At 50.5% G+C, this 24310-nt stretch overlaps 1 protein-coding gene across 6 annotated transcripts, besides 7 other annotated features; it reads left to right on the forward strand.

Moving 5' to 3' along the window:
- Nucleotides 1-601: 601 nt before the first annotated feature.
- On the forward strand, nucleotides 602-17401 carry TRIB3 (tribbles pseudokinase 3). 6 transcript variants are annotated; one of them, NM_001301201.1, is made up of 5 exons: nucleotides 1137-1342; nucleotides 2275-2468; nucleotides 7853-8143; nucleotides 11129-11421; nucleotides 16040-17401. In NM_001301201.1, the coding sequence occupies exons 2-5, from the start codon at nucleotides 2388-2390 to the stop codon at nucleotides 16530-16532; spliced, it is 1158 nt and encodes a 385-aa protein (NP_001288130.1). In that variant the 5' UTR covers nucleotides 1137-1342; nucleotides 2275-2387; the 3' UTR covers nucleotides 16533-17401. The 6 variants fall into 6 exon arrangements, with proteins under 6 accessions (NP_066981.2, NP_001288130.1, NP_001288125.1 ...); NM_021158.5 differs by lacking the exons at nucleotides 1137-1342; nucleotides 2275-2468 and adding an exon at nucleotides 602-1011; NM_001301196.1 differs by lacking the exon at nucleotides 2275-2468.
- Nucleotides 886-1045: a silencer, noted in NCBI's record as "silent region_12572". NCBI's record gives its function as "represses an Ori minimal core promoter by ATAC-STARR-seq in GM12878 lymphoblastoid cells {active_cell/tissue: GM12878}" and the evidence as "EXISTENCE:reporter gene assay evidence [ECO:0000049][PMID:35858748]".
- Nucleotides 1066-1175: a silencer, noted in NCBI's record as "silent region_12573". NCBI's record gives its function as "represses an Ori minimal core promoter by ATAC-STARR-seq in GM12878 lymphoblastoid cells {active_cell/tissue: GM12878}" and the evidence as "EXISTENCE:reporter gene assay evidence [ECO:0000049][PMID:35858748]".
- Nucleotides 1446-2035: a silencer, noted in NCBI's record as "silent region_12574". NCBI's record gives its function as "represses an Ori minimal core promoter by ATAC-STARR-seq in GM12878 lymphoblastoid cells {active_cell/tissue: GM12878}" and the evidence as "EXISTENCE:reporter gene assay evidence [ECO:0000049][PMID:35858748]".
- Nucleotides 1446-2719: a biological region, named in NCBI's record as "H3K27ac-H3K4me1 hESC enhancer GRCh37_chr20:362523-363521".
- Nucleotides 1721-2719: an enhancer, noted in NCBI's record as "H3K27ac-H3K4me1 hESC enhancer chr20:362523-363521 (GRCh37/hg19 assembly coordinates)". NCBI's record gives its function as "activates a minimal SCP1, AML or CMV promoter by ChIP-STARR-seq in primed H9 embryonic stem cells {active_cell/tissue: H9 hESC(primed)}" and the evidence as "EXISTENCE:reporter gene assay evidence [ECO:0000049][PMID:30033119]".
- Nucleotides 18844-19344: an enhancer, noted in NCBI's record as "H3K27ac hESC enhancer chr20:379646-380146 (GRCh37/hg19 assembly coordinates)". NCBI's record gives its function as "activates a minimal SCP1, AML or CMV promoter by ChIP-STARR-seq in primed H9 embryonic stem cells {active_cell/tissue: H9 hESC(primed)}" and the evidence as "EXISTENCE:reporter gene assay evidence [ECO:0000049][PMID:30033119]".
- Nucleotides 21859-22135: a transcriptional cis regulatory region, noted in NCBI's record as "candidate enhancer chr20.29 targeted for multiplex CRISPR interference". NCBI's record gives its function as "positively regulates RBCK1 gene expression in K562 cells {active_cell/tissue: K562}" and the evidence as "EXISTENCE:mutant phenotype evidence [ECO:0000015][PMID:30612741]".

Below are 24310 nucleotides of genomic sequence, written 5' to 3' on the forward strand. Positions count from 1 at the left end.
GCTTCTGAACCACTTGCCCATAGCTGGGCCTCAGGCTGGCTCTCAGTAGAATGTGGAGAATGGAGATTCCCGCATGTCCACTTCTCCTAAAGGTTTTATAAGGCAGTGCTGGGAATGTGCTTTATAAAAAAGGGGAAGCACCCCGACAACAGTCACTGTTTGCTCTTTTAAGCACCATCCTGAGAAGGAGGAATGTTCTTCCCATTTCATAGGTGGGGAAACCGAGGCTCAGAAGAGCAAATTTTTGGCCGGGCGCGGTGGCTCACGCCTGTAATCCCAGCACTTTGGGAGGCCGAGGCGGGTGGATCACGAGGTCAGGAGATCGAGACCATCCTGGCTAACAAGGTGAAACCCCGTCTCTACTAAAAATACAAAAAATTAGCCGGGCGTGGTGCGGGCGCCTGTAGTCCCAGCTACTCGGGAGGCTGAGGCAGGAGAATGGCGTGAACCCGGGAGGCGGAGCTTGCAGTGAGCCGAGATCGCGCCACCGCCCTCCAGCCTGGGCGACAGAGCAAGACTCTGTCTCAAAAAAAAAAAAAAAAAGAGCAAATTTTTTTTCCAAGGTGATAGGGAGAGTCCGTGGCTGATGTCTGCACTGACCAGACGCCCCTAGGGGGCCAGCGAGGGCGGGTCCCAGGTGCAGCGGATGCAGAGGAGAGAGGCCCGGGCGCGGCGCGGGGGATGGTGCGATCCCGGGCCCGAGGGCATCAGACGGCGGCTGATTAGCTCCGGTTTGCATCACCCGGACCGGGGGATTAGCTCCGGTTTGCATCACCCGGACCGGGGGATTAGCTCCGGTTTGCATCACCCGGACCGGGGGCCGGGCGCGCACGAGACTCGCAGCGGAAGTGGAGGCGGCTCCGCGCGCGTCCGCTGCTAGGACCCGGGCAGGGCTGGAGCTGGGCTGGGATCCCGAGCTCGGCAGCAGCGCAGCGGGCCGGCCCACCTGCTGGTGCCCTGGAGGCTCTGAGCCCCGGCGGCGCCCGGGCCCACGCGGAACGACGGGGCGAGGTACTCGGCGGGGTGCGGCCTGCGGACTCGCCCGGAGGCCGGGGGGCGGGAGGGGGCGGCCGGGGAAGGGGGCGCCGGAAGCCTCTGGGCGTCTGCGTGTTGCCGCGTGTTACACGCACGCACGCCCCTTACACACCTTTTCACAGACCCCGCCGTCGGGGCGCGGCCAGGTCAGATCCCTTTTGATCCGGGCCTGGGCTGAGTGCTCCCCCCGGGCTTCAGGTGACGCGGCCCCGCGGAGCGTGGGGTCGCCCGAGTTGGGCTGGGGAAGCCAGGGACGGAGGTGTCCGGCCGTCACCCCTAGAGGAGGGCGTGCGGGGGTCTGTTTTGCGTGAGTGCGGGATAGGGGAGTCGTGTGGTGCGGTGAGGGGCTTGTGGGGGGCACTGGAGGACTCTGGGGGTGGCGGGGGATCCGAGGGGGTCCTCGTGAACCCGCAGGGGAGAGTCCTGGGTGAGGGTGGGTCCCGAGCACCTGTGTCTCAGGAGATGGTGAGAGCTGTCTGGAGGGCTGGGCACTTGGTGGCAGGGGTTGGCGGTGCAGGGGACACCGCCGGGACAGGGCTGGGGTGCCCTGGAGCGGGGGAGCCGAGGGAGTGGGAGCGGGGGCGCAGCGCGCGATCTCTGGCCCGGCAGGGCCGCTGGTTCTCCCCAGTGCGCGGCTCCGGGTTTGCAGGTGGACGGTGCGCGCGTGTCTGCGGTGTGTGCTGTGCCTGCAGACCGGGGAGGGCGGGGGACGACAGCCACCTCCTTCCCTCTGCCTCACCCCCCTCCTGTCCCAGGGCCGCGCTTCAATTTCCGCTGAAACTTCTGACTCGGACACCCGCCGCCTTTCGCTTGGGCTCCCACGGGAGGGGCCTGGCTGCGGGGGGCGGGGCGGGGTGGGGGTGCGGCCTTGCTCGGGTAGACCATGGGTGTGACAGCTGGGAGGGCTGTGTGTGTGTGTGTGTGTGTGTGTGTGCGTGCGCGCGCGCGCTTGCGCTTGATGTAACCCGCCCTCATTTCCCTGGGTCCCGAGTGTGGCAGGGAACAGCAAGAGGTAGATATTAGGGGCTGCTTTCATTCCACATCACAGATTCTATTCTGCAGTGTGGTCTGCAAAATGCCTTGCCCAAGATGTATAGACTCAGTTACCGCATCTGTCCCCATCTGGGTGGAGCTTATCCCAGGCCCCAACAGGCTCTGAGGGATGGCCGGGGCCAAGGCAGCCTGGACTACTGATGTGGCACAGGCCAGAGGGACTCCAGGCAGTCTCCTGCTGCACAGGGCACAAAGCATGTGCACAGCCAGGTATCATCCTGCGTGACTCAGAACAGCCTTGAGATGTAAGGAGTGTCATCCCAGCCTCGAACCTGGGGAGCTTTCTAAGACTCCCAAGGATGGTACTTATGCATCTTGCTGTGAAGAATAACAGGATGAGTGCTAATAATGACCATTTCCTGACACCTACCTGGCAACAGGTCCATAAGCTCTACATGCTTCATTTGTGTTTTCATTTCATCATCACGAAAAACCTGTAAGCTTTGCATCCTGTTCCCACTTTACAGGAACTGAGGCTCAGAAAGCTTGAGGAACTTGACCAGGGGTACCCCCCAGCTAGAAAGGGTTTGAGACAGGATTAGAACCCAGGAATATCTGACTACAGCCACTCCTTACTGCATTCTTACCAAGCCAAAGTCATGACCTTTCACTCATGTGGGGAGGCCTTCCCTTCCAAGGCAGCTCTTCCATTTGGGAGCAGCGTACTTGGAGAGGTGGGCCTCTGTCTGGTAACTGACTCATGTTGCCTTGTTAATCCTGCCTTGAACTGTTGGGAAGGTCTTTAACCAGGCTGAGGTCTCTCGCACCAATGCCCATACCTGGGCATGCACCTCCTTGGAATGGAGTTTAAGTGGGTGGGCAGATGGGTTCTAGAGAGAACCCGTCTGCCCTGACCATGCCCTACTGCCCTCTCCTTCAGCCACCACACACACAGTCACACAGCTGCGTGAATGGTGGCTTTCCTTTCACTTAACAGTTCACTCTGGAGATCCTTCCAATTACCCTATAAAGAGCATCCTCAACCTTTTAAATGGCTGCACATTGTTCCGTTGTGTGGATGAAGTATAATTTATGTAACCAGCCCTGTAATTATAGACAGCCAATTATTTCTGTCAAAAGGGCTGCAGGAATAACTGTGTATTTGCATGCTTACACACACACACCTCTACAGAATAAATTCTTAGCAATGGGATTAATTGCTGAATCAAAGCTCACACGCTTTTCATCGTTGTTTTTGTTTTGTTTTGTTTTGCTTTGTTTTGAGACAGTCTCACTTTGTTGCACAGGCTAGAGTTCCTGACCATGGCTCACTGAAGCCTTTACCTTCTGGGCTCAAGTGATTCCCCTACTTCAACCTCCTGCATGGCTGGGACTACAGCTGTGTGCCATCATGACCAGATAATTTTTTTTTTCTTAGGGACAGGGTCTCGCTACGTTGCCTAGGCTGGTCTTGAACTCCTGGGCTCAAGTGATCTTCCTGCTTCAGCCTCCCAAAGTACTGGGATTACAGGCATGAAGCACTGCACCCAGCCTGTTTTTCATTTTGATATTGTCAAAATGCACTCCTCAGAGGTGGTACCTTTTATCCTCCCACTAGCACTGTCTTCATTGTTAGTGGCTGCACTGCCACTATTCCACAGTATAAACCCACTTTTCATGACACTGCCAAGACATAAGGGTCTGAAATACTTAACAGTTTTCTTCCACAGTCCCCAAAATACAGGCTTCTCCCCCAGCTCAGGACATGAAGCCATCATCCCTCCTCATTGCAGGAGCCAAAGGCTGGACCTCACCTCGATTCCACCCTCTCCTTCACCCCTCACATCCAATCCATCCAGTCCATCCAGTCTGCCACTGAGTCCTCTTGATCTTCCTCCTATGAGCCCTTAACTTCGCGTCTCCATCTAGCACCCCCTAGTCCAGGTCACCTTCTCCTGCCTGGACTCGTGCTTGTGTGGGCCTCCTAGCTAGTCTCACTGCCCCGTCTTGTACTTTCAAATCCACCCTAAAAGCATGATGTTCCCCTGCTGAAATCCTTCAGTGGCTCCCCACTGCCTTTGGATAATTCCAAATCCTATTGTGTGTTAATTAGGATTAGGCTCAGCTGTAATATAGAAACAGCCACTTAATAGCTAAAATGAAATAGACGTTTTTTTCTTCTTTTTCTCTTTTTTTGAGACAGAGTCTTGCTCTGTCCCCAGGCTGGAGTGCAGTGGCGAGATCTCAGCTCACTACAACCTCTGCCTCCCAGGCTCAAGTGATTCTCCTGCCTCAGCCTCCCGAGTAGCTGGGACTACAGGCATGCACCACCATGCCCACCTAATTTTTGTATGTTTAGTAGAGATGGGGTTTCACCATGTTGGCCAAGATGGTCTCGATCTCCTGACCTTGTGATCTGCCTGCCTCGGCCTCCCAAAGTGCTGGGATTACAGGCATGAGCCACTGCGCCCAGCCTTCAATAGATGTTTATTTCTCTCCTGTGTAAAAAACCTGGAGGTCTGGCCTGACAACTCCATGTGTCAGGGACCTAGGCTCCTCTCTTGCTCTACTGTATGTGGTACTTCTGAAGCCAAGGTAGATGCTGGAGCTCCAGCAGTTAGGTCCACATTCCAGCATACAGGAAAGGAGGAAATGAGGAAGTTGGGCCCTCCCTTTAAGAACACTGTCCTGGGCATTGTACACAACACTTCCACTTGTGTCCTACTAGCCATATGCTGATACAAGGATACAAGGGAGACAGGAAATGCAGTTTATTCTAGGTGTCCTTGTGCTCAGCTGAAAATCTCAGGTTCTAATCCTATGTAAGGAGGGGAGACCTGAAACTGGGGACCACTAACCACCTCTGCCATATGATGCTCGTAGAGCCCTTCACAATAGGGCCTCTACTAACCTCACCTTATTTTTATTTATTTATTTATTTTTGAGACGGAGTTTCACTCTTGTCGCCCAGGCCGGAGTGCAATGACACTATCTCAGCTCACCGCAACCTTTGCCTCCTGGGTTCAAGCAACTCTCCTGCCTCAGACTCCTGAGTAGCTGGGATTACAGGCGTGTGCCACCACGCCCGGCTAATTTTTGTAGTTTTAGTAGAGACGGGGTTTCACCATGTTGGTCAGGCTGGTCTCAAACTCCTGACCTCAGGTGACCTGCCTGCCTCGGCCTCCCAAAGTGCTGGGATTACAGGTGTGAGCCACCACGCCCGGCCTATTTTTTTTTTTTTTTTAACTTTTCACTTTTTTTTGCAGTCACGCTCATTCTCCACCGTGTTCTTGGGGAACATGCAGCATGTTCTTTTGCCTCTTCCCTCACCCCAGAACAGGGGTTACTGGACAGCGGCATCAACTTCACCTGGGAACTGGATAGAAATGCAGATTCAGACCTTCTGAATGAGCTACTTTGGGAGTAGGGCCCAGCAATGTATGTTGAAACAGGCCTCCAGATGATCTCAATGCTTGCTCAAGTTTGAGAACCACTGAACCGCAGTATGACTCTCCGTGTCACCTGGCTAACTCTGCCTCACTTTCAGGTCTCAGTGTAGACACCACCTCTTCTAGGAAGACCTCTCTTGACCCACCAGCCCAGGAGAGAGGCCTCTCTGGGTTCCTAGAGGCCCATGCTTCTCTGTATAGTAGGGCTGATCACACTGTATGTGATTTTTTTTTTTTTTTTTGAGAGAGTCTTTACTCTGTCACCAGGCTGGAGTGCAGTGGCACAAACATGGCTCACTGAAGCCTCAACCTCCCAGGCTCAAGCAATCTTCCCACCTCAGCCTCCCAAGTAGCTGGGACTACAGGCATCCACCACCACACCCAGCTAATTAAAAAAAAATTTTTTTTTGTAGAGACAGGGTCTCACTATGTTGCCCAAGCTGGTCTTGAACTTTTGGGTTCAAGCAGTCTTCCCACCATGGCCTTCCAAAGTGCTAGGATTACAGGTGTGGGCCACTGCACCTAGCCTTGGACGTGATTTTATTACTCATCTGCCCTCCAAATTGACTGGAAGATCCTGACGGCAAGACTGCTGTCTAACCTACTTCTCTTCCTAGCACCCAGTGTTAAGTGAATGAACAAGATCATATCTCTCATCTGTGAATGTACGAGAGCCATGGATTATGAGATTAGTTGATTTTCTTAACTATAATTTTTAGAAACAAGCTGTGTTTTTAAGCAGGTATTTATTTCCTTAAATGTACATTTCTGATTACAAAATACTTTTTTTTGAGACAGAGTCTTGCTCTGTCACCCAGGCTGGAGTGTAGTGGCACAATCTCGGCTCATTACAACCTCTGCCTCCTGGGTTCAAGCGATTCTCCTGCCTCAGCCTTCCCAGTAGCTGGGATTACAGGTATGCACCACCACGCCCGGCTAATTTTTTTTTTCTCCCGTGACGGAGTCTTGTTCTGTTGGCCAGGCTGAAGTGCAGTGGTGTGATCTCAGCTCACTGCAACCTCCACCTCCCGGGTTCAAGTGATTCTCCTGTCTCAGCCTCCCAAGTAGCTGGGATTACAGGCCCACGCCACCACGCCTGGCTAATTTTTCTATTTTTAGTAGAGATGGGGTTTCACCATGTTGGCCAGGCTGGTCTCAAACTCCTGACCTCATGATCCACCACCTTGGCCTCCCAAAGTGCTGCCGTGGGCTGCACTTTGGCATTGCCTTGGTCACGTGCTGCTACCTGGGATTACAGGCATAAGCCACTGCGCCTGGCCTAATTTTTGTATTTTTTAGTAGAGACAGGGTTTCACCATGTTGGCCAGGCTGGTCTTGAACTCCCAGCCTCATGATTCGCCCACCTTGGCCTCCCAAAGTGCTGGGATTACAGGCGTGAGCCACCACGCCTGGCCAGGAAATACATTTACATGGCTCAAATTCAAAACTATAAAAGTCGGCCAAACATGGTGACTCACATCTGTAATCCTAACACTTTGGGAGGCTGAGGCAGGAGGATTGCTTGAGCTCAGGTGAGACCAGCCTAGGCAATGTAGGGAGACCCCCATCTCTACAAAGAATAAAAAAAAATTAGTCAGGCATCATAGTGCACACCTGTAGTCCCAGCTACTTGGGAGGCTGAGGTGGAAGAATCACCTGAACCCTGAGGTCGAGGCTGCAAGTGAACTGTAATAGTAAGAGTCTCCTCCTAATCTTGTGCATCCTTTCAGAGAGAGAGATGATAGATATTCAAACAAATACATACATATATATAACATATTTATATATATTCTTTTTAACATAAAAGTATAGCCAGGTGTGGTGGTTCACTACTAGAGTCCCAGCTACTTAGGAAGCTGAGGTGGGAGGTTCACTTGAGGCCACGAGTTTGAGACCAGCGTGGGCAACATCTCTTGGGGAAAAAAAAAAAAAAACCCACCATAAAAGCATTCTATAACACGTAATTCTGTGTTTGTCTTTCTTCTCTTAATACATCTTGGAGATCAGTACGCATCAGTATATAGAGAGCTTCCTTGTCCTTTTTCAGGGCTGTGTAGTATTCTGCTGTATGGCTATACCATGATGTTTTCACTAGCTTTCTACTGCCTGACATTTGGGATATTTCCTGCTTTTGCTATTGGACACAAGGCTCTGATGAACAGCCTTTACTATATTTAATTTTTTTGTGAGAAGTTTAACTGGAAGATAAATTCCCAGAAGTGGGGCACCCAGTTAAGGATATGTGACTTTGTCATTTTAACACACACTGCCAGATCACCCCCTATAAATGTTGTGCCACGTATCCTCCCACCAGCAGGGGAAAGGAGGGGCCACCAAGCAGTCTCACTTTAGTGCTTTTCTCTCCTTTTTACCAGATGCGAGCCACCCCTCTGGCTGCTCCTGCGGGTTCCCTGTCCAGGAAGAAGCGGTTGGAGTTGGATGACAACTTAGATACCGAGCGTCCCGTCCAGAAACGAGCTCGAAGTGGGCCCCAGCCCAGACTGCCCCCCTGCCTGTTGCCCCTGAGCCCACCTACTGCTCCAGATCGTGCAACTGCTGTGGCCACTGCCTCCCGTCTTGGGCCCTATGTCCTCCTGGAGCCCGAGGAGGGCGGGCGGGCCTACCAGGCCCTGCACTGCCCTACAGGCACTGAGTATACCTGCAAGGTACGTGCCCATGGGCGGCTGTCCCCCAGCACCACAGGAGGCCTGGGAAGGAGGCCTCCAAAGGATTGCCAGGGTGCAGAGGGGTCCTTATGTTCATTCATTCTTGTGTTTGTTTAGTGGGGAAGCATCCAGGGAGCCCCTGCTGGACTGATACTAGAGAGGTAAACCAGAGGTCGTCCCAGTCCTGGGGGAGTTCACAGCTTAGGCCCTACAGTGTGATAAATGCTGCAGGGGTAGAACTTAGGGATCATGGGCGCAGAAAAGGCCGAGCAGAAGTTAGCCAGGTAGAAGTGGGAGATGGGAGTTGCAGGCAGGGGGAACAGCTGTTCAAAGGCCTAGAAAAGTGAGGGGATAGCACTTTAGAGAATGAAAAGGACTTCTCTGTGGCCAGAGTGGAGAGGATGTGCAGAAAGGGGCAGGAGATGAAGGTTGGCAGCAGCTGGTCATGAAGGTGTTAACAAGGGGCCTCCACTGGGCTGTGCGGAGCTACTGAAGATGTTTGCACAAGAGAAGGGTAGGGCATGGTAGACATCAAAACTCCTGGGACCTCGGAGGTGATCGAGCCTAACCTGGGGCCATTTTACAGATAGGAAGACTGAGATGAAGACAGGAGAAGGGCCATGCGTGAAGTCACATAGCACTGGGCCTGGCTCCTGGGGTAAACTAAGGGGTAGAAAAGTCTGAGGATTCCTGGCAGAAACCAGGAAATGGACAGGGTCAAGGCCCCTGAGGGTCAGCCCATGCAGGACACTGACAAGTGACAGTCCAAGAAGACAGAGATGAGAATAAAAAGTGTAACAATAGGTATTCACTGTGCACCAGGTACTATGATGATTGCTTAGTGTGCACAATCTCTTTTAATCTTGACACAACCAATGAGGTGGTTTCTATCATTGTGCCCCTTTTATAGATAGAGGACACTGAGACTCAGAAAGCCATGGTTACTTGCCACATGACAGAGCCAGGTGGTATCAGAGCTGGGATTGGGCCCAGGAGGCTGAGCCCAGAGAGTCCTGTGCCCGTGCTAGGATAAGCGTTTCACACAATCAGGGCAGGCTGCCCTGGCAGGCAAGCATAAGGAAGATAAGGGGGACCTGGAAACCCAAGGGAGAGTAGCGGGGGCCTGGGTCCCTTGGGAATGCACAGAGAAGCAGAAGGACTTAAGCCTCCTCCTGGGGCAGCAGCAGAGCTTTGCTCTGTTGACGGAGATGCAGTGAACAGCGGGGCAGATCCAGACAGGGTCCAGCCCCTAGCTTCACCTGGCCTCTTGTGCACAGATCTCCAGCGCCCTTACCAGGTGCCCTAAGGAGCCCAGAACTCTGGGTCCCCTTCCTGCAGCATCACAGGCTCTTTTCCACTCCCGCTGGGGAGGTGAGTCCATGATAAGAGGAATAACCCAAGCAGGCTCAGGAGAGAAGCGCCATGCGTTCACAGGGCCCTGATTCTCAAGAAACATTTGGGAAAATCCACTGGAACATACTCACCCCTATGCCAATGTGCACCATGGGTGCTGAATGGTCATTTCCACACTTCCTCAGCTTTTCTGGTCAGTGTGTAGAAAGATCAAAATCTTGTCTTTGTAAATGATCAACTTATTCATTAATTCAACACAACTTCATTGAGCACCCGTATTTGCCATGTACCATGCTGTGGTTAAAAAACAAAGTTCTGTTCTCATCAAGCTGACGTTCTAGTGGGAGATACAGACACTAAACAAGCGAATAAGTAAAATACGTGTCAGGTGGCCGGGCGCGGTGGCTCACACCTGTAATCCCAGCACTTTGGGAGGCCGAGGTAGGCAGATCACCTGAAGTCAGGAGTTCGAGACTATCCTGGCCAACATGGTGAAACCTTGTTTCTATTAAAAATACAAAAAATTAGCCGGGCATGGTGGCAGGGGCCTGTAATCCCAGCTACTCGAGAGGCTGAGGCAGGAGAATCTCTTGAACCTGGGAGGTGGAGGTTGCAGTGAGCCGAGATCACACCACTGCACTCCAGCCTGGGCAACAAGAGCAAAACTCCGTCTCAAAAAAACAAAAAACAAACAGGAAAACCCTTATTCCAGCATCTTTCTTGGTTCCTTTGCAATGCTTATCAGCATTTGTCAATATTTGGTTTCTGGGCATGTTTGCATGGCCTCCCAGTGGGCACCGGAGAGCAGAGCCCATGGCTGTCAGTCTAGCTGGACATGTGGCTGGCCCGTGCAGGCCCAGGGCCAGCATACTGAATGAATGAAAGCGTGGGTGGGCAAAGAGGACGGGAGCTGTGACGGTGATGAGCATCAGGTGCCTTCTGCATCATCCGCCCTTCCGGATTCCTCCTGCTTTGTGGGTTATTTTTCTGTTTGGGTGACCTGTTACTTTTCAGTTATCCGATGTTTGAGGCCATATAGCGTAGCAGTTAAGAGCACAGACAAAAGGCCGGGTGCAGTGGCTCACACCTGTAATCCCAGCCCTTTGGAAGGCTGAGGCGGGAGGATCACCTGAGGTCAGGAGTTCGAGACCAGCTTAGCCAACATGATGAAACCCCATCTCTACTAAAAATACAAAAATTAGCTAGGTGCGGTGGCACATGCCTGTAATCCCAGCTACACTGGGGGCTGAAGCGGGAGAATCACTTGAATCCAGGAGGCGGAGTTTGCAGTGAGCTGAGATTGCGCCAGTGTGCTCCAGCCTGGGTGACAGAGCGAGACTCCGTCTCAAAAAAAAAAAAAAAAAAAAAAAGCACAGACAGTGGAGTGCATACGTGCAAATCTCAGCCGTGCTGTTTGCTGGCTGTGTGGCCTCTCAGCTTCGTTAACCGTAAAATGGAGCAAGTCATCCTACCTTATAGGACCATGGTCAGGGCTGAGTGACTCGGTCAGTGAAGCGCTTGGTGCGATGCCTAGCACATGGTAGTGTCTAATAGGTCAGCTGTGACTGTTTGCAATGCCAGCCTCAGCTCCCGGGAGTCCCCAGCTGTGCTAACACCATGCTCTGCCCACAGGTGTACCCCGTCCAGGAAGCCCTGGCCGTGCTGGAGCCCTATGCGCGGCTGCCCCCGCACAAGCATGTGGCTCGGCCCACTGAGGTCCTGGCTGGTACCCAGCTCCTCTACGCCTTTTTCACTCGGACCCATGGGGACATGCACAGCCTGGTGCGAAGCCGCCACCGTATCCCTGAGCCTGAGGCTGCCGTGCTCTTCCGCCAGATGGCCACCGCCCTGGCGCACTGTCACCAGCACGGTCTGGTCCTGCGTGATCTCAAGCTGTGTCGCTTTGTCTTCGCTGACCGTGAGAGGTGAGTGTGGTCTCAGAGACCCCAGCCACAGACACACCCAGGGGGTGGGCCATGATGGAGAGAAACCGAGGCCCAGGAAGGCAAGGTAACTTAGGCAAGAAGTGGGAGAAACTGAAGTAACCAGCAGCCCCTGTTTAGTTCCCTGAGAAGAGTTGACTCAGGCCAGGTGCAGTGGCTCACGCCTTTAATCCCAGCACTTTGGGAGGCCGAGGTGGGTGAATCACTTGAAGTCAGGAGTTCGAGACCAGCCTGGCCAACATGGTGAAACTCCGTCTCTACTAAAAATACAAAAATTAGCCTAGTGTGGTGGCGCACACCTGTAATCCCAGCTACTCTGAAGGCTGAGGCAGGAGAACTGCTTGAACCTGGGAGGCGGAAGTTGCAGTGAGCCAAGATCACGCCACTGCACTCCAGCCTCGGCAACAGAGTGAGATTCCATCTCAAAAAAAAAAAAAAGAGTTGACTCAGTCCTCTTGGGAGCCCCTTGGGATTCTGGGATGGAGCACTGAGATGTGAAAGTCATAGTAGCCGACAGTGACGAAAGCATCGCCACATTATCTAACGTGGTCTTCCATCCTTACAAACACGAGGCAGGTACTGTTATTATCCCCATATGATCAAGGAAACTGAGGCCCAGAGAGCTCAAGTAACTTGCCCAAGATCCCATAGCAGAATAAATGGTAGAGCTGGGATTTGAACCTAGATCTGACTCCAGAGCCTGGGTCTTAATTCAATCTGAGCTTGAGAGGCAGGGGCCTGGCTGGGCTTACCAACTGACTTTGGGTGACCTAGTGTCTCTGAGCCTCAGTTTCTCCGTTGGTAAGGAAAAGGGCTGGATTGTTAGGGTGTTTTCAGGATTCCAAGACCACAGCCAAAATAGGGTCTGAGGTTCCCCACACGGGAACGTTTTCTGTGAAACTGAGAATTAGCACTTTTTGGTTAAAAGAATCTTCCTTCTCTAGGTTGGGATGCTAAGAATTTTTTTTTTTTTAATTGAGACAGAGTCTCACTCTGTCACCCAGGCTGGAATGCAATGGCGCGATCTTGGCTCACTGCAACCTCTGCTGCCTGGGTTCAAGTGATACGCCTGCCTCAGCCTCCCGAATAGCTGGGACTACAGGCATGCGCCACCATGCCTGGCTCATTTTTTCTATGTTTAGTAGAAACGGGGTTTTGCCATGTTGGCCAGGCTGGTCTTGAACTCTTGACCTTAGGTGATCCGCCTGCCTCGGCCTCCCAAAGTGCTGGGATTACAGGTGTGAGGTACTGCACCCAGCCTAGACGCTAAGAAAAATTTTTAAAAGATAATTCTGGGGAGAAGGGCAGAGAGACTCGCCTCCTGTTCCCTCTCCAGATTCCTGGGGGCAGTCAAGATGTGTCAGGGAGTGCACTAAGCTGCCAGTTACACAGGAGTTTTCTGTGGAGAAAGGAGTGTGACCCCATGGCATTTTAAAAAACTTTTTATCTTGAAATAATTTTAGACTTTTAGAAAACCTACAAAAATAGTTCAAAGAGTTTCTGCATATCCTTTAACCAGTGCTCTCCAATGTTAACACCTGACGTAGCTATGGTACAATTACCCAAACTATTAACTAAGCCACAGATTGATTCCCACTTCCCGAGTTTCCCACTAACACCCCTTGCTGTGCAGGATCCAGTGAGGATCCCAATTTAGTCATCAGTGGTTTCCTTGGTCTCTTCCAATCTGAGACAGTTCCTCAGTCTTTCCCTGTCTTTGAAGACCCATGACCTTGACACTTTTTTTTTTTTGAGACAGGGTCTCACTCTGTCACCCAGGCTGGAGTGCAGTGGTGTGATCACAGCTCACTGCAGCCTCAACCTCCCGGGCTCAAGTGATCCTCCCACCTCAGCCTCCTGAGTAGTTGGTTCTACAGGTGTGTGCCACCCCACCTGGCTAATTGAGATGGGGTCTTGCTATGTTGCCCAGGCTGGTCTCAGACTCCTGAGCTCAAGCAATCTGCCTGCCTCAGCCTCCCAAAATCCTGGGATTATAGGCGTGAGCCACTGCTCCTGGCCATAACCTTGAGACTTTTGAAGAGTACTGATCAGTTACTTTGTATGTCCCTCAATTTGGATTTGATTGATGTTTTCTCACAGTTAGATTGCAGTTATGTATTTTTGGCAAGAACAACACAGAATCGATAGGCCCCTCTCCACATCATATCAAGAGATACTTGAGCTGATAGTCATTCCTATGTCGTGACCTTGATCACTTGGTTAGGGCAGGACCTACCAGGTTTCTCTACTGTAAGGTCCTAATTTACCCTTTGTAATTGACAAATACCTTGGGGGAGGTAAGCTAGGCATATAAATATCCTGTTTTTCCTCAACTTTCACCCACTAATTTTAGCAGCCATCCATCTTGCCTATAGCAGTTATTATTGTGGTGCTTGCCTAAGTCTAATTTTCTTTTTCTTTTTTTTCTTTCTTTCTTTTTTTTTTTTTTTTGAGACAGAGTCTCGCTCTGTTGCCCAGGTTGGAGTGCAGTGGCACGATCTCGGCTCACTGCAACCTCCACCTCCCGGGTTCAAGTGATTCTCGTGCCTCAGCCTCTTGAGCAGCTGGGATTACAGGCACACACCACCACACTTGGCTAATTTTTGTATTTTTAGTAGAGATGGGGTTTTGCCATGTTGGCCAGGCTGGTCTCGAAATCCGCCTGCCTTGGCCTCCCAAAGTGCTGGGATTATAGGCATGGGCCGCTGCGCCCAGCCCCCAAGGCTGATTTTCTGTTAATATTTCCTTCTACATTTTATATTAGAACAAGCATGCCTTTTTTAAAGAAGTAACATTTATAATGATGTTTAAGCTAGTACATAACTTCAAACACATTTTAGGCTTAGGGTAGATACAACTACCCCGGACCTCCTGGAGGAGACAGCGTGCTTCCTGCTCTTTTCAAGAAGTCACTTGATGGCCCACACCTGTTATCCCAGTGCTTCGGGAAGCCAAAGTAGGAGGACTGCTTGAGCCCAGGAGTTCGAGGCCAGCCTAGGCAACACAGAAAACCCCATCTGTACAAAAAATTTATAAAAATTAGCCAGGTGTGGTGATGCACACCTGTGATCCCAGCTACTTGGGAGGCTGAGGCAGGAGGATTGCTTGAGCCCAGAAGTTTGAGGCTGCAGTGAACTAGGATTGCACCACTGCACTCCAGCCTGGGTGGCAGAGTGAGACCCTATCTCTAAAGAAAAAAAAGAAAAAAAAAAAGAAAAATCACATGAGAGTCATTGGTAGAAGAGGGACCGTGAGTTAGATAGACCTGTGTTTAAATCCTGGGTTCTGCTTCTTACCTGCTTTTTGGCCCTGAGCAAATGACTTCACCTGCCTGAGCCTTTGTTTCTTCATCTGTAAAATGGGCTAATAATGCTGACACCCCTTGTCCCCCAATACTGTGATTCATAGGATTGGTCAGTATTTGTGAAATGCCACTGGACACCCAGGAAGTAATGCCATAAAGAAGAAACTAATAGCAGTGGTAATAGAATGATTACTATTAAAGTCATCTTTGAGTGCTCAGTGGAAGTTGTTTAAAGTAGAAATTGCAAATGGCAGGACACACTTTTTTTTTTTTTTTGAGACAGGGTCTCACTCTGTCACCCAGGCCGGAGTGCAGTGGCGCGATCTCAGCTCACTGCAACCGCCACCTCCTGGGCTCAAGTCATATCCTTCTGCCTCAGCCTCCCAAGTAGCTGGGACTACAGGTGCGAATCACCATGCCTGCTAATTTTCGTATTTTTTGTAGAGATAGGTTTTTACCGTGTTGCCCAGGCTGGTCTTGAACTCCTGAACTCAAGTGATCCCCCTACCTCGGCCTCCCAAAGTGCTAGGATTACCGGCATGAGCCACCGCGCCCAGCCTTACACACTTTTTTTTTTGCCCTGCTTACCTGTTTGTGTTTTTTATATAAACTGGTTGCCAATATTTTTTAAATGGGGACCTTTTCATTAAAATACAATTCCTGGCTTCTCTTGGGGAAAACAATGGGAATGTGGGGCCATCTTGGGAACTGCGAGGGTGGGTCACAGCACTGGCTCTGAGTATCTGCCAGCCAGCGTTCCCATCCCAGGCCCATGCTCTACAGCTGTAAAATGGTGTCTTCCTTGCAGGCTGTAGCCTAGATAGAATGAGGTGAGCCAGGTAATGAGCTGGGTCAAGGGCCAGGAACACAGCAGGCACTTGGTAAACCCTAGAATGCGTTGTGTACCCTTTTTAGGTAGCGCTTGTGCTGAGATGTCAGGCACACTTCCTGTTTCTCTCATCTTATTACCTGCCTGGACCCTAAGTTTGTAGCTGGTTTAAGAGAGGCTTAACCCTCTCAGCCCCATCAGCCCCCTCCCCAAGGGACTCTGTTGAAAAATGTATTCCTTTCAGAATTTTAGTTTAAATTTAATTGCTCTGTGGCCTTAAATGACTTAACCTCTCTGAGCCTGGGCTTGGGTATCTGTAAAACAGGATCAGACATCACAGGACTGGCTTGTGTCTGTCAAAGGCCAGCAGGCACTTGGAAAGTGGGTGCCACAAGGGTGATAGCATGGGGTGGTGGCATGGGGGTTCTGGGTAGGACCTGACCCTTCTGTTTCTCCCCATGTCCCAGGAAGAAGCTGGTGCTGGAGAACCTGGAGGACTCCTGCGTGCTGACTGGGCCAGATGATTCCCTGTGGGACAAGCACGCGTGCCCAGCCTACGTGGGACCTGAGATACTCAGCTCACGGGCCTCATACTCGGGCAAGGCAGCCGATGTCTGGAGCCTGGGCGTGGCGCTCTTCACCATGCTGGCCGGCCACTACCCCTTCCAGGACTCGGAGCCTGTCCTGCTCTTCGGCAAGATCCGCCGCGGGGCCTACGCCTTGCCTGCAGGCCTCTCGGCCCCTGCCCGCTGTCTGGTTCGCTGCCTCCTTCGTCGGGAGCCAGCTGAACGGCTCACAGCCACAGGCATCCTCCTGCACCCCTGGCTGCGACAGGACCCGATGCCCTTAGCCCCAACCCGATCCCATCTCTGGGAGGCTGCCCAGGTGGTCCCTGATGGACTGGGGCTGGACGAAGCCAGGGAAGAGGAGGGAGACAGAGAAGTGGTTCTGTATGGCTAGGACCACCCTACTACACGCTCAGCTGCCAACAGTGGATTGAGTTTGGGGGTAGCTCCAAGCCTTCTCCTGCCTCTGAACTGAGCCAAACCTTCAGTGCCTTCCAGAAGGGAGAAAGGCAGAAGCCTGTGTGGAGTGTGCTGTGTACACATCTGCTTTGTTCCACACACATGCAGTTCCTGCTTGGGTGCTTATCAGGTGCCAAGCCCTGTTCTCGGTGCTGGGAGTACAGCAGTGAGCAAAGGAGACAATATTCCCTGCTCACAGAGATGACAAACTGGCATCCTTGAGCTGACAACACTTTTCCATGACCATAGGTCACTGTCTACACTGGGTACACTTTGTACCAGTGTCGGCCTCCACTGATGCTGGTGCTCAGGCACCTCTGTCCAAGGACAATCCCTTTCACAAACAAACCAGCTGCCTTTGTATCTTGTACCTTTTCAGAGAAAGGGAGGTATCCCTGTGCCAAAGGCTCCAGGCCTCTCCCCTGCAACTCAGGACCCAAGCCCAGCTCACTCTGGGAACTGTGTTCCCAGCATCTCTGTCCTCTTGATTAAGAGATTCTCCTTCCAGGCCTAAGCCTGGGATTTGGGCCAGAGATAAGAATCCAAACTATGAGGCTAGTTCTTGTCTAACTCAAGACTGTTCTGGAATGAGGGTCCAGGCCTGTCAACCATGGGGCTTCTGACCTGAGCACCAAGGTTGAGGGACAGGATTAGGCAGGGTCTGTCCTGTGGCCACCTGGAAAGTCCCAGGTGGGACTCTTCTGGGGACACTTGGGGTCCACAATCCCAGGTCCATACTCTAGGTTTTGGATACCATGAGTATGTATGTTTACCTGTGCCTAATAAAGGAGAATTATGAAATAATTTTATTTTTCTCTGCAATTTCTTCCATCCTTTCCAACGATCTCTTACCAGTTTTTCCTGCCTTCAAAACTGGCCCCCATGGTGAAAGGCCGTAGAGTTGTGTCTTAACCTGGGCTGAGTGGTTTGTGAGAACAGATTACCTGGAGCCCAGTGGGTCTTCCTGCACTCCTTCTGTTTCTTCTGGCAGCAGCAGTGTCTCTATTAGGGTACTTTCTGAGTCAAAATGGCTTCAACAAGATGGAAATATGTTTCACACAAAACAAGAAGTCAGCAGATAGGGTGGGCTTCAGTGCTGGTCCATTCAACTCCCAAAGCTGCGCACAGGGACCCCGGCTCTCCAGGCTCCTTCTGTCTCTTGGCTGTATTGTCTCGAGACTGCTGGCCCAATGGCTACAGCAGGTGTCACATTAAAGAGGTCCATGACCAGAGGAAGAAGCCAGGGGTCATTGTAGTACCTGAGAACTCAGAACTCTGGAGTCAGGCTGCCTGGAATTAAATCCTGGCTCCAGCACTCAATAGCTGTTTGACCCTTGGCAAGTTTCTTAACCACTCTATGCCTCAGATTCTTCATCTGTGAAATGGGGGACAATGATAGTACCTAACTTATGAGAACTAAATGACTTATTTTGTATAAAGCAATTAGAACAAGCAGCGCCTGGCATAATAAGCCCACAATAAAAGTTACTCCCGGCTGGGCACGGTGGCTCACGCCTGTAATCCCAGCACTTTGGGAGGCCGAGGTGGGCAGATCACAAGGTCAGGAGTTCAAGACCAACCTGACCAACATGGTGAAACCCCGTCTCTACTAAAAATACAAAAATTTTTAGTAGAGACGGGGCGTGGTGGTGCGTGCCTGTAGTCCCAGCTACTCGGGAGGCTGAGGCAGGAGAATTGCTTGAACCCGGGAGGTGGACGTTGCAGTGAGCCAAGATCCCGCCACTGCACTCAGCCTGGGCAAGAGAGCGAGACTCCGTCTCGAAAAAAAAAAAAATGGTGCTCCCACATTTCTTTCTTGGGATGGAGGAAGCTTTCCCAGAAGCGCTCCTGACCGACTTTCCCACACATCTCACTGGTCAGAACTGCATCACTTGCCGTTTCTGACCAATCACCAGCTTACATTCATGGGGCACGTGCTTACACTAACCATGGCACTCCTCGAGCTAAGTGGAGCTCATGCGTCATATGGAGGGGTAGTGACTCCTGAGCAAAACCAGGTTCAAAGAGGGAGGGGATCGTAGGGAAAAGAATGTGCGGAAGTGCGGAGGCCCAGCCAACAGCCTGCTAACTGCAGATACTCGAGAGCGGCCACCCTAGATCATCTGACCCAGGCTGGCCCACGCTAGAATTGCCCAGTGACCCGCAAGGTCATGAGCTAATTGAGCTAAATAAAATCATTGTGTTTTTTTGTTTGTTTGTTTTGTTTTTGTTGTTTTGTTTTTTGAGACAGAGTCTCACTCTGTCACCCAGGCTGGAGTGCAGTGGTGCGATCTTGGCTCACTGCAACCTCTGCCTCCCGGGTTTTCAAACGATTCTTCTGCTTCTGCCTCAGCCTCCCGAGTAGCTGGGATTACAGGCACGCGCCACTACACCCGGCTAATTTTTATATTTTTAGTAGAGACGGGGGTTTCGCCATGTTGGCCAGGCTGGTCTCCAACTCCTGACCTCAGGTGATAGGCCCACCTCGGCCACCCAAAGTGCTGGTATTACAGGCGTGAGCCGCCGCACCCGGCCAATCATTGTGGTTTTAAGTCACTAAGTTTGAGGCTATTTTGTTTTACAGCAAAAGCTAACTGATGCAGACAGGGACAAGTCAGTCTCATCTCTGTGCACCCAGCATTGCCCAGAACAGGGCCTAGTTGTGTCTAGGGTCTCATGGGGCAGCCCCTGACCTCTATCTTGCCCCTCCCAGCTTCCAACAGACCCTGTCCCAGCTCCCTCCAAGCTGAGTGTTGGCCTGATACCTACCAGTGGAGCGAGGGGAACACGAGGACTGCCAAGGGCAGGTACCGTGCCAACCCTTCACTCCATTCCACAAAGAGACTCATTTACTCCTCATGACAATCCAGTGAGGCAGATGTTCCTGTCACTTTACAGATAAGACAAATGAGCTTTAGAGAGAGCAGAAGACTCATCCAAGACCTCACAACAGAGAAAAAGACTCCTCTGGTTTTTGCCTTGGAGCAGGAACTTTTGACAAGGCTGCGCAGATGCAGCCACATGAAAACCGCCCATTAAAAATGTAATATCGGCCCGGAGCGGGGGCTCACGCCTGTAATCCCAGCACTTTGGGAGGCCGAGGCAGGCAGATCACTTGAGGTCAGGAGTTGAAGACCAGCCTGGCCAACATGGTGAAACCCCGTCTCTACTAAAAATACAAAAAATAGCCAGGCGTGGTGGCATGGGCCTGTAATCCCAGCTACTCGGGAGGCTGAGGCAGGAGAATCACTTGAACCCAGGAGGCAGAGATTGCAGTGAGTCAAGATTGCACCACTGCACTCCAGCCTGAGCGACAGAGCAAGACTCTGTCTCAAAATAATAATAAAATGTAATATTCACTCTTATCAAATAATGGATGTCACCACACCCCGACCCTAATTAGTGAGGACTTTCATGTTCTACTTGTCTTCATTTAATCATCATTGTATAAGAGTTTTACAATATCAAATTAGTAGATGTATATTACTGAAAGGGAAGGACTGTTAGAAATTTACTTGAGGAATGTCTGCCACTGGGGGCTGAACACAAAAGATCCTATTGTGACCTGCCAGATTATTCATTCACTTAGCAATTCAACAACCATCGCTGAATGCCTACTATAGGCCAGGTGCCATGCAAGACAGATGTGCTCCCACCCTCAAGGGTTCACAGTCTAATAGAGGAGAGAGATGTTAAACAGATAACTGTACAGATGGCATAGCTAATTATATTCGTGGAAGTTCGTTGTGGCAAAGACAGGCATCTCAATATTTCAGGAGCTCCCCTATATTTTCTAGCCTCCCTTACAGTCACATGACTAGTTCTGACCAGTGGGGTGTGTGTAGGAGTGGCAGGCTGAAGCAATGGAGAGCTGGTGAGCCTCATCCCTCTCTTCCCCTGCCACAGCCACCTTGCGCCCACAAGTTCCCTTAGCTACAAGCTGGAGGAGAGCCACCAGATCCACCTTAGATTTCACTGAGCAAGAAATAAAGCTTCTTGTGTTAAGTCTTTCAGATTTGGAGTTTGTCTGGTAGATAGTGTTAATTACCATGACTAAGGAAAATTTGCCATTAGTGAAGGGAGGAAAAATATTCTCCACCAGTAACAAGGCCATGTCAGTCTGCTGCATTATAAACCCCAAACAGTAGTTTATGATCCTCTGGGCTGGCAATTTGGGCTGAATTCAGCTGGGTCACTCCTGCAGCTGCAGGCAGCAAGCAGCTCGAATGTCTACCTTGCCAGGAAGGCTCTTCTCTGCTCCACATGGCCTCGTCCTCCAATAGGCATAGCCTACTCCTTCCTATGGTGGTCTCAGGGTTTCAGAAAGCAACAAGAGAGGACAAATTCCAGTGTTCAAGCTGCACTAGTGTCAAAGCATATCAAATAGCATGTCAAATTCCACATCAAATTCAGGATGCAGGCAAATTGATTCTTTCTCTTGATGGGAAGAGCTGAAAATAATGTGTGGTCTTGTTTTTCAATGTACAGTGGTCCCATTTATCCAGGGGGGATACATTCCAAGACCCCCAGTGGATGCCTGAAACCACAGATAGTACAGAATTCTGTATATACCATGTTTTTTACTATACATACATACCTACGATAAGGTTTAATTTGTAAATTAAACTCTTACAAATTAAGAGTTAACAACAGCTGGGCACAGTGGCTCACGCCTGTAATCCCAGCACTTTGGGAGGCCGAGGTGGGCGGATCACGAGGTCAAGAGATCGAGACCATCATGACCAACATGGTGAAACTCCGTCTCTACTAAAAATACAAAAATTATCTGGGTGTAGTGGCGCATGCCTGTAATCCCAGCTACTTGGGAGGCTGAGGCAGGAGAATCATTTGAACCCGGGAGGCGGAGGTTGCAGTGAGCTGAGATCGCGCCACTGCACTCCAGCCTGGTGACAGAGCGAGACTCCACCTCAAAAAAAAAAAAAAAACAAAAAAAACAAACAGTTAACAATAAATAGAACAGTTATAACAGTATGTTGTAATAAAAGTTATGCGAATGTGGTCTCTCCCTCAAAATGTCCTATTGTACTGTACTCACCCTTCTTGTGATGATGGGAGATAATAAAATGCCTACATGATGAGATGAAGGTAAATGAATGACATGGGCATTGTGATCTAGCGTTAGACTACTACTCACCTGATGATACGTCAGAAGGAGAATCATCTCCTTTGGGTGATCCAGGATCATGAAGCCGTGACAATGTCCATGATTGGATGTCAGGAGCAGATGATGTTAATGATTAACCGTGGGTAATGTCTACAATATGGATACAGTGCAAAAGGGATGATTCACATCCTACGTGGAATAGTGCAGGATTGCATGAGATTTCATCATGTGGTTGGCTGCAGGTAACTGACATTGCAGAAAGCAAAACCACAGATCATGGGGGTGGGGGTGGGGAACTACTGTACAACATGAGATATATTTGATCAAATAAGATGAGGTGCACCTAAAACTTTCCCTACAGGTTGTATGCCCCTGAGTAAATTGCTTGGTGTCTCTGGATCTCCAGCTGTTCCCCTTCTCTCTGCATGGCTAAGCCCTGTCCGTCACTTGGGGCTGGACCTAGAGCCCTGCCTGGCCACTAAGCCCTCAGAACAGGGTTTCTTTTTTAAAAAAGACAGGGTCGGGAGGTGGAGGTTGCAATGAGCCAAGGTCGCACCATTGCACTCCAGCCTGGGTGACAAGAGTGAAACTCCATCTCAAAAAAAAAAAAAAAAAAAAAAAAAAAAAAAAAAAAAGACAGGGTCTCACTCTGTCACCCAGGCTGGAGTACAGTGGTGTGATCATGGCTCGCTGCAGCCTTGAACACCTGGGCTCAAGCTGTCCCCCAACCTCAGCTTCCTGAGTAGCTGGGAGTGCCACCACGCCTAGCTAGTTTTTTAAAAAATTGTTTTGTAGAGACAGGGGCCTCACTATTTTGCCCAGGCTGGTCTTGAATGCCTGGCCTCAAATGATCCTCCTGCCTTGGCCTCCCAAAGCACTGGGGTTACAGGTATGACCACTACCCACAACCAGAACATTTCTCAAATGTGATTGGTTGATCTCCTGCATCCATCCCTGGGGTGCTTGTTTAAAATGCAGAGCCCTGGATCCTCCCCCAACCTAGAGAGTCAGAACATCTGGGCTTCTGCATCTTAACAAGCTCCCTGGGTGATGCTGCTGGGCCTCCAAGTTGGAGAACCTCTGTATTTGAAGAAATCCGGACTCCTTGGGGACTCAAATCTTATTTCAGCTCTTCTCTGGACTAGTTTGACTTTAGCCTTGGTGTAAAATGGGTATACATTTTACACGCCTGTGACGCCAGGATGCGCTCACAGGGGAGGGAGGGCTTTATCAGAGGTCAGAATCTAAGCCACCACTACAGTTGTACTAGATCCAAGGAGAAAGACTCCCAGGCCTCATTTCCTCATCGTTCTCTCTTCTCTTACCTGGCTTTATGGTTCTTCATAGCACTGAGCACCACCAGGCAGTGTATTTTATGTTTTTTTTGAGCTTTATAATGCCAGGGACTATGTTTTGTTTATAACTGTTCACCCAGTTCCTAGAACAGTGCCTGGTACACAGGAGTGCTCAATAAATGTTTGTGGAATGACTGAATAAAAGTTGTTCCTGTACAGATTCCACCTGCCTAGAGCAAAGCCAGGACACTGATTGGGATGAACACATAGCACATGCCAGACATGGCTTTGAGTGCTTTACCTGGATCATCTCACTTTATATGTGACAGCCAAATGGTCCCCAGTGACCTTCACCAGCTGCTATTCACGCCTTTGTACAGTTTCCTCCCATCCTAAGCTGGGCTGACCAGTGTAATGAATACAATATTGTGAAATGAGAAAGTATGACTTTTAAGATTAGGTCATAAAATATGTTATGGCTTCTGCCTTGCTCTTCTGGATCATCTGCTCTGGGGACAGCCAGCTGCCATGTTGCGAGGACACTCAATTACCCCTGTGGAAACTTACATGTGGTGAGGATCGTAGGCATTCTGCAAATAACCAGCACCACCCAGGCACATAAAAGAGCTTTCTTGAGTCAATCCTCCAGCCCCAGTCAAGCCTTCAGATGACTGCAGCCCCAGCCGACATCTTAACTACAACCTCATGAGTGACCCTGAGCCAGAACCATCTATGTAGCTGCTCCCCAGTTCCTAACCCACAGAAACTATGTGATAGCATACATGTTGATTGCTTTTTTAAGCAATTAATTTTGGGAAATTTGCCACATATCAATAATTAATAACTTGTACAGATTCTCACAACAGCCTATGTGGGAGGAGCCATCATAATTACCATTGAACAGAGAAAGAAACTGAGGCCCAGATAGGGGGAATCTTTGTCCAGGGTCACACAGATAGTGAACTGTAGCACTGAGATTGGAACCCAAGTTTGAATGACTAGAGTCTACCCACTGAGGTGAAGGTGTTCAAGTTGAATGCCAGCTCTTCCCCTGAAGGGCCAAGGCTGAGACCAGAAAACCTGAAACAATATAGCTGCACCCAATATAAATATATGCAGGTAACTCAGGGCTGATGGTACATGACCATAATAAATCAGCAGGGTCATCAGGAGAAAACAAGACAACAGGAGCGAAAACAGATAGAAACAAATATGCCCAGAGTTTGTATATCAGTATTATCAGACGCAGATTATAAAACAAAATGTTGGCCGGGCACGGGGGCTCATGCCTGT

Source organism: Homo sapiens, chromosome 20 (genome assembly GCF_000001405.40).
Source record: "Homo sapiens chromosome 20, GRCh38.p14 Primary Assembly".
NCBI classification, from domain to species: Eukaryota; Metazoa; Chordata; class Mammalia; order Primates; family Hominidae; genus Homo; species Homo sapiens.

Bases quoted from the DNA above. Each gene is read 5' to 3' on its own strand.
- TRIB3 (NM_001301201.1), top strand. From the start codon at position 2,388: ATGGTACTTATGCATCTTGCTGTGAAGAATAACAGGATGAGTGCTAAT. The intron at 2,469-7,852 runs GTCCATAAGCTC...CCTTTTTACCAG, and splicing joins TGACACCTACCTGGCAACAG to ATGCGAGCCACCCCTCTGGC. The intron at 11,422-16,039 runs GTGAGTGTGGTC...CCCATGTCCCAG, and splicing joins GTCTTCGCTGACCGTGAGAG to GAAGAAGCTGGTGCTGGAGA.